The sequence below is a fragment of the Homo sapiens genome, chromosome Y (genome assembly GCF_000001405.40).
Source record: "Homo sapiens chromosome Y, GRCh38.p14 Primary Assembly".
Lineage (NCBI taxonomy): Eukaryota > Metazoa > Chordata > Mammalia > Primates > Hominidae > Homo > Homo sapiens.
In genome coordinates, this window is record NC_000024.10 from 13,287,856 (window position 1) to 13,303,960 (window position 16,105).

General features: G+C 37.6%; 1 protein-coding gene across 111 annotated transcripts in view; it reads right to left on the reverse strand.

Moving 5' to 3' along the window:
* The window catches only part of UTY (ubiquitously transcribed tetratricopeptide repeat containing, Y-linked), a 246,776-nt gene that overhangs the window by 53,961 nt on the left and 176,710 nt on the right, over window positions 1-16,105 (reverse strand). For 97 of the 111 annotated variants that reach the window (NR_174404.1, NR_047602.1, NR_047634.1 and 94 more), the window contains 3 exons: window positions 15,022-15,136; window positions 11,102-11,289; window positions 9,852-9,993 (listed from right to left, as the gene is read on the reverse strand). Coding sequence is in view for 55 of the 111 variants with exons in the window: in XM_011531448.4 (XP_011529750.1) it covers window positions 9,852-9,993; window positions 11,102-11,289; window positions 15,022-15,136 (445 nt within the window). In the remaining 56 variants the exon portion in view is untranslated. Of the gene's footprint in view, window positions 1-9,653; window positions 9,994-11,101; window positions 11,290-12,121; window positions 12,214-15,021; window positions 15,137-16,105 lie in introns of those variants that run through there. The other 14 variants (NR_047615.1, NR_047623.1, NR_047614.1 and 11 more) reach the window with 8 other exon arrangements.

Genomic DNA, 16,105 nt, shown 5'->3' on the forward strand with positions numbered 1-16,105 from the left:
TCTAGGCATCAATAAGAAAAGACTAAGTCCTAGCATAAACATCCTAATAAAAGGAGAGGTTCAAAGATGCTCTCCAGAACCAGTATTTCAGACTTTCTATGATAAACTAAATGTGCCCGTACCAGAGACTCCAAGAAAAACCAGAAATTTGTTTTTGCAATTAGCCGAGCATGTAGCCCAGTCTCTAAATGTCACTTCATGTTATGTTTGTAGAAAAACTAATAAGAGATCAATGGCCATAAGAAACCCAAGAATTAGTGCCTACAGACCCAGTTCCTGATGAATTCCTGGCCCAAAAGAATCACCCTGATCATCTCTAAGTTCTAAAAGTCTTAATTATTAGACAATATTGCATAGCTAAAAACGAAAAGAATTCACTCATTCTGTAAGGTGACTTAGTTGTGTAAGGCAAAAACTGTATAATAGTACCGCAAAAAAAAAAAAAACCCACCAAAAACAGTTACATGGTGGAGTTCCAATTACACAGAAAAAGATCCATTCAGTAAATTTCCAAAGTTGCAGACTATTTAGGCCCACCCAGAATTCCACCGGGACTGGACGGCCCCCACCAGGTTATACTAGATATGCAGACACACAGCTTATGCTAAGCTGCCTGATCAGTGGACAGGTAGCTGTGTATTTGGCACCATTAAGCCATCTTTCTTCTCACTGCCCATAAAAACAGTGAACTTCTAGGCTTCCCAGTCTGCTTCCTGAGAAAAATGAAGCATAGCCATAGGTGATTAGAAAGATAATGAATGGCCCCCTGAATCATACAATACTATAGACCCGTCACTTAGCATAAGATGGCTCACGAGGATATCGAACCCCATCTACATGCTCAACCGAATCATAGGGTTACAAGCTGTTTTAGAAATTATTACTAATAAAACCGATCAAGTCTTGACTGTTCCTGCCCAGCAAGAGACTCTGATGAAAAATACTATCTATCAAAATAGACTAGCTCTTGACTACTTGCTAGCAGCTGAAGGAGAAGTTTGTAGAAAATTTAACCTTACTAATTGTTGTCTACACATAGATGATCAGAGGCAAGTAGTTGAGGATATAGTTAAAGAGATAACAAAACTGGCACATGTACCTGTGCAAGTGTGGCACAGACTCAATCCAGGAGCCATGTTTAGAAATTAGTTCCCAGCAATAAAAGGATTTAAACTCTAAGAGTAATAATAGTAATAAAAACCTGCTTACTGCTCCCTTGTTTGCTACCTGTACTTCTTTAAATATATAAAAGCTTCATCGCTACCTTAGTTCACCAAAATGCTTCAGCACAAGTGTACTATATAAATCACTATCAATCTATTGCACAAAAAGACATAAGTAGCAAAAATAAAAGTGAGAACTCCCACTAATAAAAAAGTGAGATTCTCAAAGGGGGGAAATGAGGGAAGAGAGAGACCCTCTCATATTGTTTTATACTCAGTACCTGTTTTAAAAAACAAAAAAGTAAAACCAAAGACAGGCAGCCTGGCGCCAGGCCCGAAACCAGGCCTGGGCCTGCCTGGCCTAAACCCCGTAGTTAAAAATCAGCTCATAACTTAGAACCAATGTTATTCATAGATTCCAGACATTGTATAGAAGAACACTGTGAAACTCCCTGCCTTGTTCTGTTTCTCTCTGTCCGTTGGTGCATGCAGCCCGTCATGTACCCCTTGCTTGCTCAAATCAACCACAACCCTTTCATGTGAAATCCTTACAGTTGTGAGCCCTTAAAAAGGACAGGAATTGCTCATGCAAGGAACTCGGATTTTAAGGCAGTAGCTTGCCAATACTCCCAGCTGAATAAAGCCCTTCCTTCTACAACTACGTCTCTGAGAAGTTTTGTCTGCGGCTCGTCCTGCTACCATAACAAATCCTACGGGAGATAAATCTAAAACTGTCTCTAGACAAAGAAAGGTCATCACCTAGTAACAAGTGGGTCCATTCAACTGGAAAGTGTAACTATCAGAAATATATCTGGCACCCCAACATCAGAGTACCTACACATATATAAAGAAAATATTGACAGATATGAAGGAGGATGTTTATGGCAATACAAAAATATAGTAGGGGAATTCAACACCTACTTTAGAATAATGTATAAAGCACCCAGACCCACCCACCTGGCAAAAAAAAATAAAAAAAAATAAATAAAAAAAACAATAGCTGACTTGAACCAGTACTAACAGGAAAGTTTATGACTATAAGTGCCTACAGCAAAAAAGAAAAACTTCCAATGAAACAACCTAAAAATGCATCTTAAACAAGTAGAAAAAAGGAGCAAATCAAACCAAAGTTAGAAGAAAAATAAAGATTAGAGTAGAAATAAATGAAGAAAACAAAATAAAAGATCAATGCAACAAAAAGTTCATTTTCTAAAAGGACAATATTGACCAACTCTTAGCTAGACTAACAACAACAAAAAAAAAGCAGGAGACTCAAATAAATACAATCAGAGAGGATAAAAGAGATATTACAACTGATAAATGTAGAATTACAAAGAATCCCTACAGGCTATTACTGGCAACTATATATACCAATAAATTAGAAAACCTGTAAGAAACAGACACATTACATATACAATTACAACTTGCCAAGACTGAACTAAAAGAAATACAAAATCTGAACAGACCAGTAATAAGTTAACAAGAATGAAGCCATAATAAAAAGTCTCACAGAAAAGCCCAGGACCTGATGGCTTCACTGTTAAAGTTTTTTGTTTTTGTTTTTTTTAGGTGGAGTCTCACCCTTGCTCAGACTGGAGTGAAGTGGCATGATCTTGGCTCACCGTAACCTCTGCCTCCTGGGTTCAAGCAATTCTCCTGCCTCAGCCTCTCAAGTAGCTGGCATGATAGGCATCTGCCACTATGCCTGGCTAACTTTTGTATTTTCAGTAGTGACAGGGTTTCACCATGTTGGCCAGGCTGGTGTTGAACTCCTGACCTCAGGCGATACACCTACCTCAGCCTCCCAAAGTGCTGGGATTACAGACGTGAGCCACCGTGGTTGGCCTCACTGCTGAAACTTACATAATTTTTTTTTTTTTTGAGACGGAGTCTCACTCTGTTGCCAGGCTGGAGTGCAGTGGTGCGACCTTGGCTCACTGCAACCTCCGACTCCCGGGTTCAAGCGATTTCTCCTGCCTCAGCCTCCTGAGTAGCTGGGATTACAGGCACGTGCCACCATACCTGGCCAATTTTTTTATTTTTAGTAGAGCCAGGATGCTCTCCATCTCCACCCGCCTCAGCTTCCCAAAGTGCTGGGACTGCAGGTGTGAGCCACCGCCCTCGGCTGAATTTTACCAAACATTTAAAGAACTAACACCAATCCTACTCAAACTGTTCTGAAAAAGAGGAGGAAGAGATACTTCTAAACCCATTGTATGAGGCCAGTATTACTCATATATCAAAACCAGACAAAGACAATTAAAAAGAGAAAGTACTGGGCAGTATAAACACAGGCCAAAATCCTTAACAAAATATAAGCAAACCAGGTTCAAAAACACATTAAAAAGACCATTCATCATACTATGCAGCCATAAAATGGAACAAGATAATGTCCTTGCATGGACATGGAATCCATTATCCCCTGCCAACCAATGCAGGAACAGAAAACCAAACACCACATGTTCTTACTTATAAGTGGGAGCTGAACAATGTGAACACAGGGAGGGGAACAACACACACTGGGGCTTTTTGGAGGGCGTGGAGAAGGGAGAGCATCAGGAAAAATAGCTAATGCATGCTAGGCTTAATACCAGGGTGACGGGTTGACAGTTGCAGCAGATCACCATGACACATGTTTACCTATGCAACAAACCTGCACATCCTGCACATGTACTCAAGAACTAACATAAAATAAAATAAAATAAAATAAAAACTATTCATCATGACCAAGTGGAATTTATCACAGGGATGCAAGGATAGTCCAATATATGCAAATCAATCAGTATATCATATCAACAGAATGAAGGACAAAACCATATGATCATTTCAAATAATTCTGAAGACACATTTGATAAAATTCAACATCCCTTCATGATAAAAACTAATGAAAAACTGGATATAGAAAGAACAGACCTTCGACATGATAAAAACCATATATTAATACAACAGACACAGCTAGTAGCACACTGAATAGGGAAAAACTGAAAGCCTTTCCTTTAAGAGCTGGAACACAACAAGGATGACCACTTTTACCACTAACAAAACTAAGAACCAGTCTTTTAAATCCATAAACAAAACTGACAAAGAAAAAAAGAGAGAAGACTCCAACAAAATTAGAAAAGAAGACATTATAAAAGATATTCAGAAACAGGCCGGGTGCGGTGGCTCACATCTGTAATTCCAGAACTTTGGGAGGCCAAGATGGGCTTCAAACACAAGGTCAGGAGTTCGAGACCACCCTGACCAACATGGTGAAACTTGTTCTACTAAAAATACAAAAATTAGCCAGGTGTGGTGGTGTGCGCCTGTAGTCCCAGCTACTCAGGAGGCCGAGGCAGGAGAATTGCTTGAACCTGGGAGGTGGAGGTTGCCATGAGCCAAGGTCACGCCCCTGCACTCCAGCCTGGGTGACAGAGGGAGACTCTGTCTTGAAAAAAAAAAAAACAAAAACAAAAACAAGAAAAGAAAAGGAAAAAGATATTCAGAAATATAAAGCATCAAAGGGATTATAATGAACAATAATATGGCAAAAACTAGATAATCCAGAAGATATGAACAAATTCTAAGAAACACGCTATACCTAGCAAATCTGCATCAAGAAGAAATAGGAATGCTGAACAGACCAGTAACAAATAAGGTGCTTTAATTAGTGATTAAAATTCCCCTAACAAAGAAAAGCCCAGAACCAGATGGCTTTGTGGGTGAATTCCAATAAACATTCAAAGAAAAATACCTATTTTCCAAAAAATAGAAGAAAGAAGACTTCTAAACTCATTTTATGAGGTCAACACCACCATAATATCAATGGCAGACAAAGATGTTACAAGAAAATAAGATGATAGGCCAACATTCCTATTGAACACTGGTAGAAAAATCCTCGGTAAAATACTAACAAATAGAATTGAGCAGCATATTAAAAGGATCATAAACCCTGAAAAAGTGAATTTATCCTCGGGAAATAATAATGGTGTGACATAGGCAAATAAATGTGATATACCATACTAACAGAAAAAAAGGTAAAACTACATGATTATCTAAACAGATCTAGAAAACGCATTTGACAAAGTTCAAACTCTATTGATATTTAAAACTTTCAACAAAATAGGTACAGAAGGAATGGATCTCATGGTTAATGCTGTATGGAAAAAGTACACAGCTAACATCATAATCACTGTGGGCAGAAATGAAAAGCTTTCCTCCTAAACCCTAAGTAAGAATGCTCATTCTTGGCATCTGTTTAGAATCTAATACTGTATGTTGTAGCCAGACAATTAGATAAGAAAAATAAATAAATGGCATTCAAAATTTTTTTTTTTGAGGCGGAGTCTCACTCTGTCCAGGTTGTAGTATAGTGGCATGATTTTGGTTCATTGCAATCTCTGCCTCCTGAGTTCAAGCAATTATCCTGCCTCAGCTTCCCAAGTAGAGTAGCTGAGACCAAAGGCATGCACCACCATTCCCAGCTAATTTTTGTATTTTTAGTAGAGACGGGGTTTAACCATGTTGGCCAGAATGGTCTTGATCTCTTGACCTCGTTATCTGCCCACCTTGGCCTCCCAAAGTGCTGGGATTGTAGGCGTGAGCCACCGCACCTGGCCATGGTGTTCAAATTTTAAGTGAAGAAGTATAATTACCTGTATTTGCAGATACCAATTCTCTATGTAGAAAACTGTAGAGACTCAACAAAGAAAACTGTTAGAATTAATAATTCAGAAAAGATTCAGGAAACAGAATTAGCATGTAAAAATCAACTGCACTTTATATAGAAAAATCAAACTACTAAAAAGAAAAAAAAATGAAGAAAACAATCCATTCATAGTAGCAACAAAAAGATATCTTGGTAATAAACGTAACCAAAGAAGTGAAACATTTGTACATTGAAAACTACAAAACACTGATACGGAAAATTAAAGGCACACATAAATGAAAAACATCTGTACTCATGGTTTGAAAGTATTAATATAAATACTGTTAAAATGTCCATATTACCCACAGTAATCCACAAATTCAATGTAATCTCAAGCAAAAGGCCAACTACATTGAATCTGTGGATTGCTGTGGGTAGTATGCAATTTTAGAAGAGAGAAAGTCTTCTAAAATTCACATGAAATCACAAAAGACTTCCAACAGCTAAAGTAATCTTGGGGAAGAAAAACAAAGCTAGAGGCATCAAGTGACCTGATTTCAAAACGTACCTCAAAGGTATAGCAATAAAAACAACAGGGTACTGGCATAAACACAGATATACAGACCAAAAGAAAAGAACAGAGACCTCAGAAATACATAACTATGAACAACTGCTCTCTGACAAGGGTACCAAGAATAAACATGGGGAAAGAAAAATGTCTTCAATAAACTGTAATGGAAAAACTGCATTGTTTGATACAGAATTATAAAACTCAACTGTCATCTCATATTATACACAAAAACCATCTCAAAATGGCTTAAAGGCCAAGACTCAAACTGAAAAAGTACTAGAAGAACACAGAGAAAAACACTGCTTACTTCAGGTTAAATGAAATAAATAAGACTCAGAAAGGCAAACACTTCATTATCTCACTTTATGCATGTACAATCTAAAAACATCAAACTCACAGAAGCACAATGTTGAACGATGACTGTAAGGAAAGAAATATGGAAAGATGCCGGTCAAGTGGTCCATGTTTCAGTTATGCAGAAAGAATAGGTTCAGGGTATGTAACATACAAGATGATGACTGTACCAGTCTGTATAGTATTGCTATAAAGAAATACCTGAGGCTGGGGGCCCTGGCTCACGCCTGTTATCCCAGCACTTTGGGAGGCCGAGGCAGGTGGATCGCCTGAGGTCAGGAACTCAAGACCAGCCTGGCCAACATAGTGAAACCATGTCTGTATTAAAAATACAAAAAAATCAGCCAGGCATGGTCGTGGGCCCCTGTAATCCCAGCTACTTGGGAGGCTGAGGCAGGAGAATCACTTGAACCCGGGAGGCAGAGGTTGCAGTGAGCCGAGATCCCGCCATTGCACCCCAGCCTGGGAAACGAGAGTGAAAACTGTCTTAAAAAAAAAAAAAAAAAAAAGAAATACCTGAGCTGACACTGGGTAATTTTTAAAGAAAAGAGGATTATCTGGCTCACAATAGTGCAAACTATAAAAGAAGAATGACACTGTTATCTGGTTCTGATGAGAGATTCAGATAGCTTCCACTAATGGCAGAAGGCCAGGAATGGGAGGAGAGAGCAGAGATCATATAGCAAGACAAGGAACAGAAGAGCAGAGGCAATGGGCTCTTTTTAGTAACAACTCTATCAGGAACTAACAGTGTGAGAACTCACTCACACCCGCAGCTACAGAGAAGCATTAATTTACTCATGAGAGATCCCTCCCCATAACCCAAACACTCCCCAGGAGACCCCCACTTCTAACACTGGGATCAAATGTTAGCATTGAATTTAGGGGAACAAACACTGAAACTATAGCATTATCTCTGTGCCCCCACTCAAATTTCATGTACTTTTCAAACCTAAAATACAATAATTACTTTCCATTAGTCCCGAAAAGTCTTAACTTGTTCCTGCACCAACTCGAAAGTCCAGTCTCACCTGAGATGCAAGGCAATTTCCTTATAGCTGTGAACTTGCAAAATAAAAAATGAGTTATTCACTTCCAAGATATAATTGAACAGACATTGGTTAACAATCCTTTTCTGAAAAGGATCAATAAGCCAAGAAGGGAGTAACAGCCCCTATGCAAGCCTGAAAACTAGCAGGGCACACATTGAGTCTTCAAGCTTCAAAGTAATTTTTCTTGACTCCATGTCCCATATATTGGACATACTGGTGTGAGCAGTAGGCTCCCAAAGCCTTAAGCTGCTCCACTCACGTGGCTTTGCTGCGCACAGGCCATATGACTGCTCTCATGGGTTAAAGTTGAATTTCTGCAGTTTTTCCAGTCTGGACTTGTGGGCTGCCACTGGCATTATCAACCTGATGTGTGTAGAACTGTGGCCCTGCTCCCACACCTCCATTGGGCAGTGTCCTACCAGAGGTCTCTCTGTGGAGTTTCTGTTCCTGTGGTAGGCTTCTGTGTGGCAGCATCCAGGTTTCTAATATATCCTCTGAAATCTAGGTAGAAGCTGCCAAGGTTCCATGGCTCTTGTACTGTAGGCAACACAGACTTAACACCTGTGGAAGTCATCAAGGCTTAAAGTTTAAGTTCTCTGCAGTGGTGCAGGATGGGTAGAACAGCATCCTGAGGTGGCTCAGGGCAGCAATGCCCTGGCTTGTCCCTCCCTACTTTCCACGCCTTTCTGTTCTCCCCAGTCTCCAGGATTGTGAGGAGAGGGGCAGACTTCAACATTTCTGAAATGCTTTTAGGGACTTTTTCCAATGGGCTTGAAGATTAGCACCTGGCTCCCTTTTAGTCATGCTAATCTCTCTACCAAGTGCTTGCTCTCAGCACCCTTGGACTCCTTTCCTGAAAATGCTCTTTCCTATTACATTTCCTTTCCAAATTTTACAATCTGCTTGCCTTTTAATTGTAATTTCCACCTTTAGTTCATTCATTTGCTGCTGGTTTAGATGGTAAGCTGTTAAAAGTAGCCACGTAACTTATTCAAAGTTTGCTGCCTAGAAATTTTTTCTGCCCCCTACCCTAGGTCATCACCGTTAAGTTCAGCTTCCCACCAAGCCCTAGGGCAATGGAAACACAGCCAGGTTCTCTGCTGCAGAGTAACAAGGGTGACTTTTGCTCCAGTTCCCAGTAAGTTCATCATTTCCATCTGAGATCTCATCAGCAAGTCTTTTACTTTCTCTATCAGCATTTTGGCGAGAAACAGTTTACCAATCCCCAAGAAGCTCCAAACTTTCCCTTGTCTTCTGGACTTGTGAGCCCTCATCAGAATCACCCATTCATTACAATACAAACTTTTCCTAGCCTGGTCCTTCAACTCTTTCAACCTCTGCCTATTACCCAGTTGCAAATCTGCTTCTGCATTTTCAGCTATATTTGGCAAAAAGTGGTATCCCATTTTTAAATAATGATTTTCTGTCTCAGTCCATTTAATGTTGCTATAAAGAAATGCCCAAGGCAGGGTAATAATATAAAGGAAAGAGGTTTATATGGCTCACAGTTCTGCAAGCTGTACAAGAAATATGGGACCAGCATCTGCTTCTGGTGAGGGCTTTGGAAGGGGAAGGGGAACTGGTACATACAGAGATCATATGGCAAGAGAAGCAAAGAGAGGTGCCAGTACTTTCATATTCATATATATGTTTATCAAATCATCAGGCTGTACATCTTAAATGTATACAATTTGCACTATAAACTATACCTTAATATAAACATAAAAAATAAGCAACAAAAATTATTTTAAAATAGTAAAACAAGTTGTCCTGGGAAATCAGTTTTATCAGAATTACGAGAAAATAGAGAGTTGTAAATTTACCAGTGTATATTCATGTACATCTTTATTCCTCTCTAAATTGTAATAAACACAAGTGACTATCTGTAAGGGAAGGCAATATTTTAATCTTATGAGATTTTATAACACTTATGAATATATAAGATTATTTACATCTTATTACATTTTGCCAAGACTTCTGGACTGCTGATATCATTTAATGTCAACAGAATTCTTTTGAAAAAAATACTGAATGGCTACCAATACCCCCAAAGAGAAACTGCAGCAGTTTCAGAAGGCACTTACTTAATCATTTCAAAAAGCTTTGGATCTGAGACTTTGATATTTCGTGCCATATTCCAGGAAAGATGCACCATGGGTACTGGTGACTTCACACTTTTCAATTTGTTCCATTCATACCGTTCCACTGCCAATTTATACTGGCAGGCTAGAAGGAAAAAAGCAACAGTCATAAAGTAACCCAAAGTAATAGAACACATGAAGATAACCATCATTTATCACCTCTCAGGTGACAACTGCAATACCAATTCTGAAAACCTTGAAACACCGTAAGACTATTATGTTTTGTGATAACTTTGGTTAAAAAAAAACCTAACGTAAAGAGCAGTCACAATATGCGAGACATTGTGCTAGGTTCTTTTAACATCTTATCTCATTTTATCCTTTCAAGGCCTTCATTTGGTAGAAGAAGAAAGTGGTTTGGTAGAAGGAAAAAGTGAAAGCCTGAGAGAAAAACAAAAACAAACAAACAAACAAAAAAATAAAACTTGCCCAAAGTCATAAAGTTAGCAATGTAGAGACATGGTCTATTTCAGGTCTTTCTAGCTCTTAAGGCCAGATTATTTATTTATGTATATTAAATACTATGACATTTTAGGGCTGCACATATGCTATATTACATAAACTGAAAATTCTAATGAACAACTACAATACTTTACTCAATAAAGGGCTTCCTTTACAAAAACAAAATCTAGCACTCTAAAATATAAAAAGTATATCTTACATTTCTGCAAAGAAAATCATTTATATTTTTAAAAAATCTGTGTTCTTGGGCTGGGCACAGTGGCTCACGCCTGTAATCTCAGCGCTTTGAAAGGCCCAGGTGGGCGGACCATGAGTTCAGGAGATCAAGACAATCCTGGCTAACACGGTGAAACCCTGTCTCCACTAAAAATACAAAAAATTAGTTGGGCGTGGTGGCAGATGTCTGTAGTCCCAGCTACTCAGGAGGCTGAGGCAGGAGAATGGCATGAACCCGGGAGGTGGAGCTTGCAGTGAGCCGAGATTGCACCACTGCACTCTAGCCTGGGCGACAGAGTGAGACTCCATCTCAAAAAAAAAAAAAAAAAAAAAAAAAAAAGTGTTCTTGGATTGCCATTTTTGAGCTGAATTTAATTTCTGTATTAAAAATTGGTATTTTTTTCCTACAAGAGATACTATTTCTATTTTCAGTGAGTTATTTTCTACTAGTAAAATAATACCTACTAGGTAATCCTTTAAAATATAAACCTTGTTGGTGTTATTATTCAGAATACCTGTAAGTGGACCAACATTCCAGGCAATGTTATTGCACCAGCCAACAGCTTGAACCCAATGCACAGTGCCTGCATTTATCCAGACCAAATCTCCAGGTCGCTGAATAAATCTATACACAGGGACATTTGCTTCATAAAGATCTTCAAGGTTGGGCCACCAAGAACTCATTAAAAAATTCAAATTATTTCTGAAAAAGAAAATAATGAAAATCAGGTTGAAAGGTGTTTTATTTCTGAAAAAGAAAATAATGAAAAATCAACTTGAAAATTAATCAAGTTAAAAAAAGATTTAACAAGAGTTAAAAAAAATGCTTCAAGTTTTTATTCCATTAATACTTTGTATCACAGGGCTAGGTGTGGTGGCTCACACATGTAATCCCAGCACTTTGGGAGGCTGTGGCAGGCAGATCACTTGAGGTCAGAAGTTCGAAACCAGCCTGGCCAATACAATGAAACCCTGTCTCTACTATACAAAAAAAAAAAAAAAAAAAAAAAAAAAAAAGCCAAACACTGTGGCACATGCCTGTAATCCCAGATACTCGTGAGGGTGAGGCACGAGAATTACTTCAACCTGGGAGGAGGAGGTTGCAGTGAGCCAAGATTGCACCATTGCACTCCTGCCTAGGCAACAGAGAGAGACTCTACCACAAACAAAACAAAAAACAAACAAATTAAAAAAGACTTTGCATCACAAAAGCATTGCAACATGAATTGCCTCTTTCATTTCCGGTTGGAGGCTTGGGCTAGGGTCCTGAGAAAAATTAATTGCAGGTGAATAGTGATAGACTTATCCAAAGATCAACTACTATCAGCTTAAACTTACTGTTCAAAAGTCTACAAATTAATATTTAAATTTCTAATTACAGTTAAACATACTGATTTTTAATTTTTTCAATAAGAAATATTTTGACTCATCTTTTTTTTTTAACTAAAAAAACCTCTTAATACTCTGAGATCTCTAAAAAGGAAAACTCTAGTTAGAAATCACATGAAGTCATTTAAAATCTTAATCATAATTACTGTGGCAGATATAAGAACCAGGACCTTCTCTCAATTCCTGAGTCAGGGGTGAGAAGGAGAGCAGAAATCATCCTCTACTGCTGTTCTGAATCCTAGGCAGGAAAGGGGAGTAAGGACAGAATGTCTATTTGCATAAGCTTTTAGGAATTAGTTGACTTAAGGCAGCTGAAAAAACTACCAGAAGAAGCCATATACACATATACAAACCACCACTGGCACCAATACAAACAGACAAAATTATGAAGTTTTAATATAAAAGTCTCATTTTTTTGTTACTCTCCTTCACCAGATTTTCCGTATTGTTGCCCAGGTGTGGTGGCTCACACCTGTAATACCAGCACTTTGGGAGGCCCAGGAGGGAGGATCAGTTGAGGTCAGGAGTTCAAGACCAGCCTAGCCAACATGGTGAAACCCTAGCTCTACTAAAAATACAAAAATTAGCCGGGGGCTTGGGGCAGGGGGCGGGGTGTGCGGTGCTGCATGCCTATAATCCCAGCTACTCAGGAGGGTGAGCAGGAGAATTTCTTGCACTTGGGAGTCGGACGTTGCAGTGAGCTGAGATCGTGCCACTGCACTCCAGCCTGGTGGGCAGAGCAAAACTCTGTATCAAAAAAAAAATTTTGTTTTTTTCAATATTGTGATGTACTGCACAGTAACTACATTGTTTTCTATTAAGAATTTAGTAAAATATTTCAAATTAAGTTTTCTCAAGAGGAAGAAATTCACATAGTAGAAAATGTTTCAGATTTAAGAACTGATTTTGCTTTGTTTCTATATTTTATCTTTAAAAAATGATAACAATCTGGAGTTGTCTATATGAAATCTTACTCCGTTTCATTTTATTCTCCTAAAATTGCTTTTGACTTTAGCAGAGGTTAGCAATTCAAGGAATAAAAAATTACAGTTTTCCATAACTTTTTTTTTTTTTTTATGTGGAGACAGAGTCTTGCCCTTTTGTTCAGGCCAGAGTGCAATGGTGCAATTTCAGCTCACTGCAACTTCTGCTTCCCGGTTCCAGCAATTCTTCTGCCTCAGCCTCCCAAATAGCTGGGACTACAGGTACACATGACCATGACCTGCTATTTTTGCATTTTTGTGGAGATAGGGTTTCACCATGTTGACCAGGCTGGTCTTGAACTCCTGACCTCAAATGATCAGCCCTCCTCGGCCTTCCAAAGTGCTGGGATTACAGGCATGAGCCACTGTGCCCAGCCCGTTTCCCATAAACTTTAAAAAGCTTGCCAGTAAATGGGAAGCAAAATGAAAAAAGAAAGGAAAAGGAAAAAATTATAAGCATAGCACAAGTCTTACCTTATCTTACTCGTATACTACCAATATAAAATTAGAGAAAATTTTGTATTAAAAAAAAAGCAGCAAAGCCAATAAAGGCAGACAGTATCTTTTTCAAAAGTTCAGAACAACAGTTAATTATATATAGGGTGATACTTTATACAAAATAAAATTACAAGGAAACTGCAAAGAGGACTGCAAAGTTTTTGAATCTTAGGATAAATGAATCATTTTAACTTCATATTTTTATTATTTCCAATCTTTAACTTTTTAGATATCACATTTTTTTCCCCAACAATCATTAACCTAAGGTCACTTCTCTGTTCAGAAAGGAAAAAAGCTAAATCCTGAAAATGCCAGTTCCCACTCAGGAAAAATGAACAAAAGTCATTATATTTAAATGTAATAAGAACTGCAATATACATCCTCACAGTTTTAAGAAAAAAATTCTTTATGTAGCACGATAGGGATTCCCCTGTATAGATTTCTTTTTCCCTTGTTTGCCCCTGCTGTTTCTGTGTATTTGGAGTTTCCTAGGTTCAGAACAAAGAGTTCAGATGAAAGTGTTACTGATAAGTTTTAAATGTTAAAAAATTCCATCTTTGCTATGCTGAGGAAACCTTTTGCATTAGACAACAAAGGCAATAAAAAGGGATTATTTCTTGCCAGTAGGTAAGAAAATTAACCTTATGTTTTTAATAAGATGAACTTTTTACCAAATAAAATGTAAAGACATTCCAAAAGGTTAAAGTAGAAATTACTTTGTGAAACATGCATATTAACTGATTAAAATGTAAACCTCATATATAATTCTCTAGGAATTCTATTTTTTTACAGTATGTTTTAGTATGTAATACAGTTCCAGTTATGTCTGTATTTTTCCACTAATATCTTTACCAACTCTAAAAAACAAATTCTGTGATTCCTTTGTTATTGATATTTTTAGCCCAAATTACAAAGATACACAAAATTGAGTTACTAGGCTCTAAGGGTGCCTTATTTTATAATTCCCCATAATTTCTAAAAACAATCGTAAGTAAAATTTTTCTTTAAGGCACACTTGTCAAATCTGGAAAAATGCATAAATTTTTTACATTAACATAAAAAACAATTTACTCTCTTATCAATTCACACCTATTACCACGGCAGAGACTAGTTCACGGCATCTTTCAGTTTGCTTCTTTGTTTTGAGACAGGGTCTCACTCTTGTCACCTACGACAGAATGCCATAGCATGATCATGGCTCACTGCAGCCTCAACCTCCGAGGCTCATCTCAGTATCCTGAGTATGAAGAACTATAAGTGCAGGCTAATTGTTGTGGTTTTGCCACGTTGCTTAGGCTGGTCTCAAACTCCTAGGCTCAAGACATCCATCTGCCTCAGCATCTCCAAGTGCTGAGATTGCAGGCATAAGACACTGTGCTTAGCATGACATCTTTTCATTAAGTATTTAGATAACATAAAAGATTTGAAATCAAATCATTTTAAAAAAATTCTGCTGAGCAGTAAGTAAAAACTGATAGTTTCATGAAGAAACTCAGCTTTGCACTTTGTCCTTTATGCCTATTTTCTCATAGTTACTTAAATGAAAGTTTAGTTCAGAAACCTACTTTTCACAGAAGTCATTCAGAACACCCCAATAATCTTCAGGTACAACAAACCATTCACAATCTCCTGGACCAATATTTATGTTAACAGAGCAGAAGTTGTTATTTTCTTGGTGACCTGAAAAGTAAAAGAAAATGTAAGTCACAATTGTAGCATAAATTAAATGGAGAAATGTGCCTTTAAATTACTGGATAGTTTTGAGGACTGAGCGAAAAATACATGCTTAGAACTTTGAACAGAACATAATATGCAATACATATTAGCTATAGTCATTAGTAGTTCCTTCTCTATAAACGACTTCTCAATTCTCGCAAATAGTAGCAGAAACCTTATTAAGAAAGGTATAGTGTTCAAAATGTAACCTGTCTCCTACCACTCTTGGCTCCTACCACATGTCAAATGTTAGCATATAATGTAAAGAATCATAACTCTTCCACAATGAGTAGGTGGATGGCACTGCCCATGGCAAGGGCTTTAAAAATACAAATTAGAAATACTAGGACACCACAGGCACCTACCCATGGTGAAAGAGTTAGAAACATTTACATTACATACCATATAGATAATCTTAGCTTATGATCTATCAGCAATCCCAATATTTTAGAACACATTAAAGATCATATCAGAATATGAAGTGTATTATAGCAGGCATCATTTATACTAATGTAATACTGGAATAAAATCTACCTATACAGAAATTCAGAACAATGTTTCTTTAAATTATATCTGGCAAACAAAAACATACTACATTTCCTCTAAGGAATTCCTTAACAGTTCCACAGGATACTGTTGAAGTACTAATGTTATACAAAGAAACAAAAAAACCCAAACACTTGAGAGACAAAATGACAAGGAGATAATCTATTAAAAGTTTGGTTATTCCCCTGCTAGATTTTAAAAGAAAAATGACATTTTTCATTTCATGCAATTTATTTCATTTTCACTGTGAAAATGTAAGGTGTTTCAATATCTATGTTCATTTGTATTGTATTATTCATTGGCAGACTTGTGAAAAATATCTTATCATATGCCAGTCTCATCAACCTGTTGAACATAAGTTCCATGAATTTTGTCAGAAACAGAGAC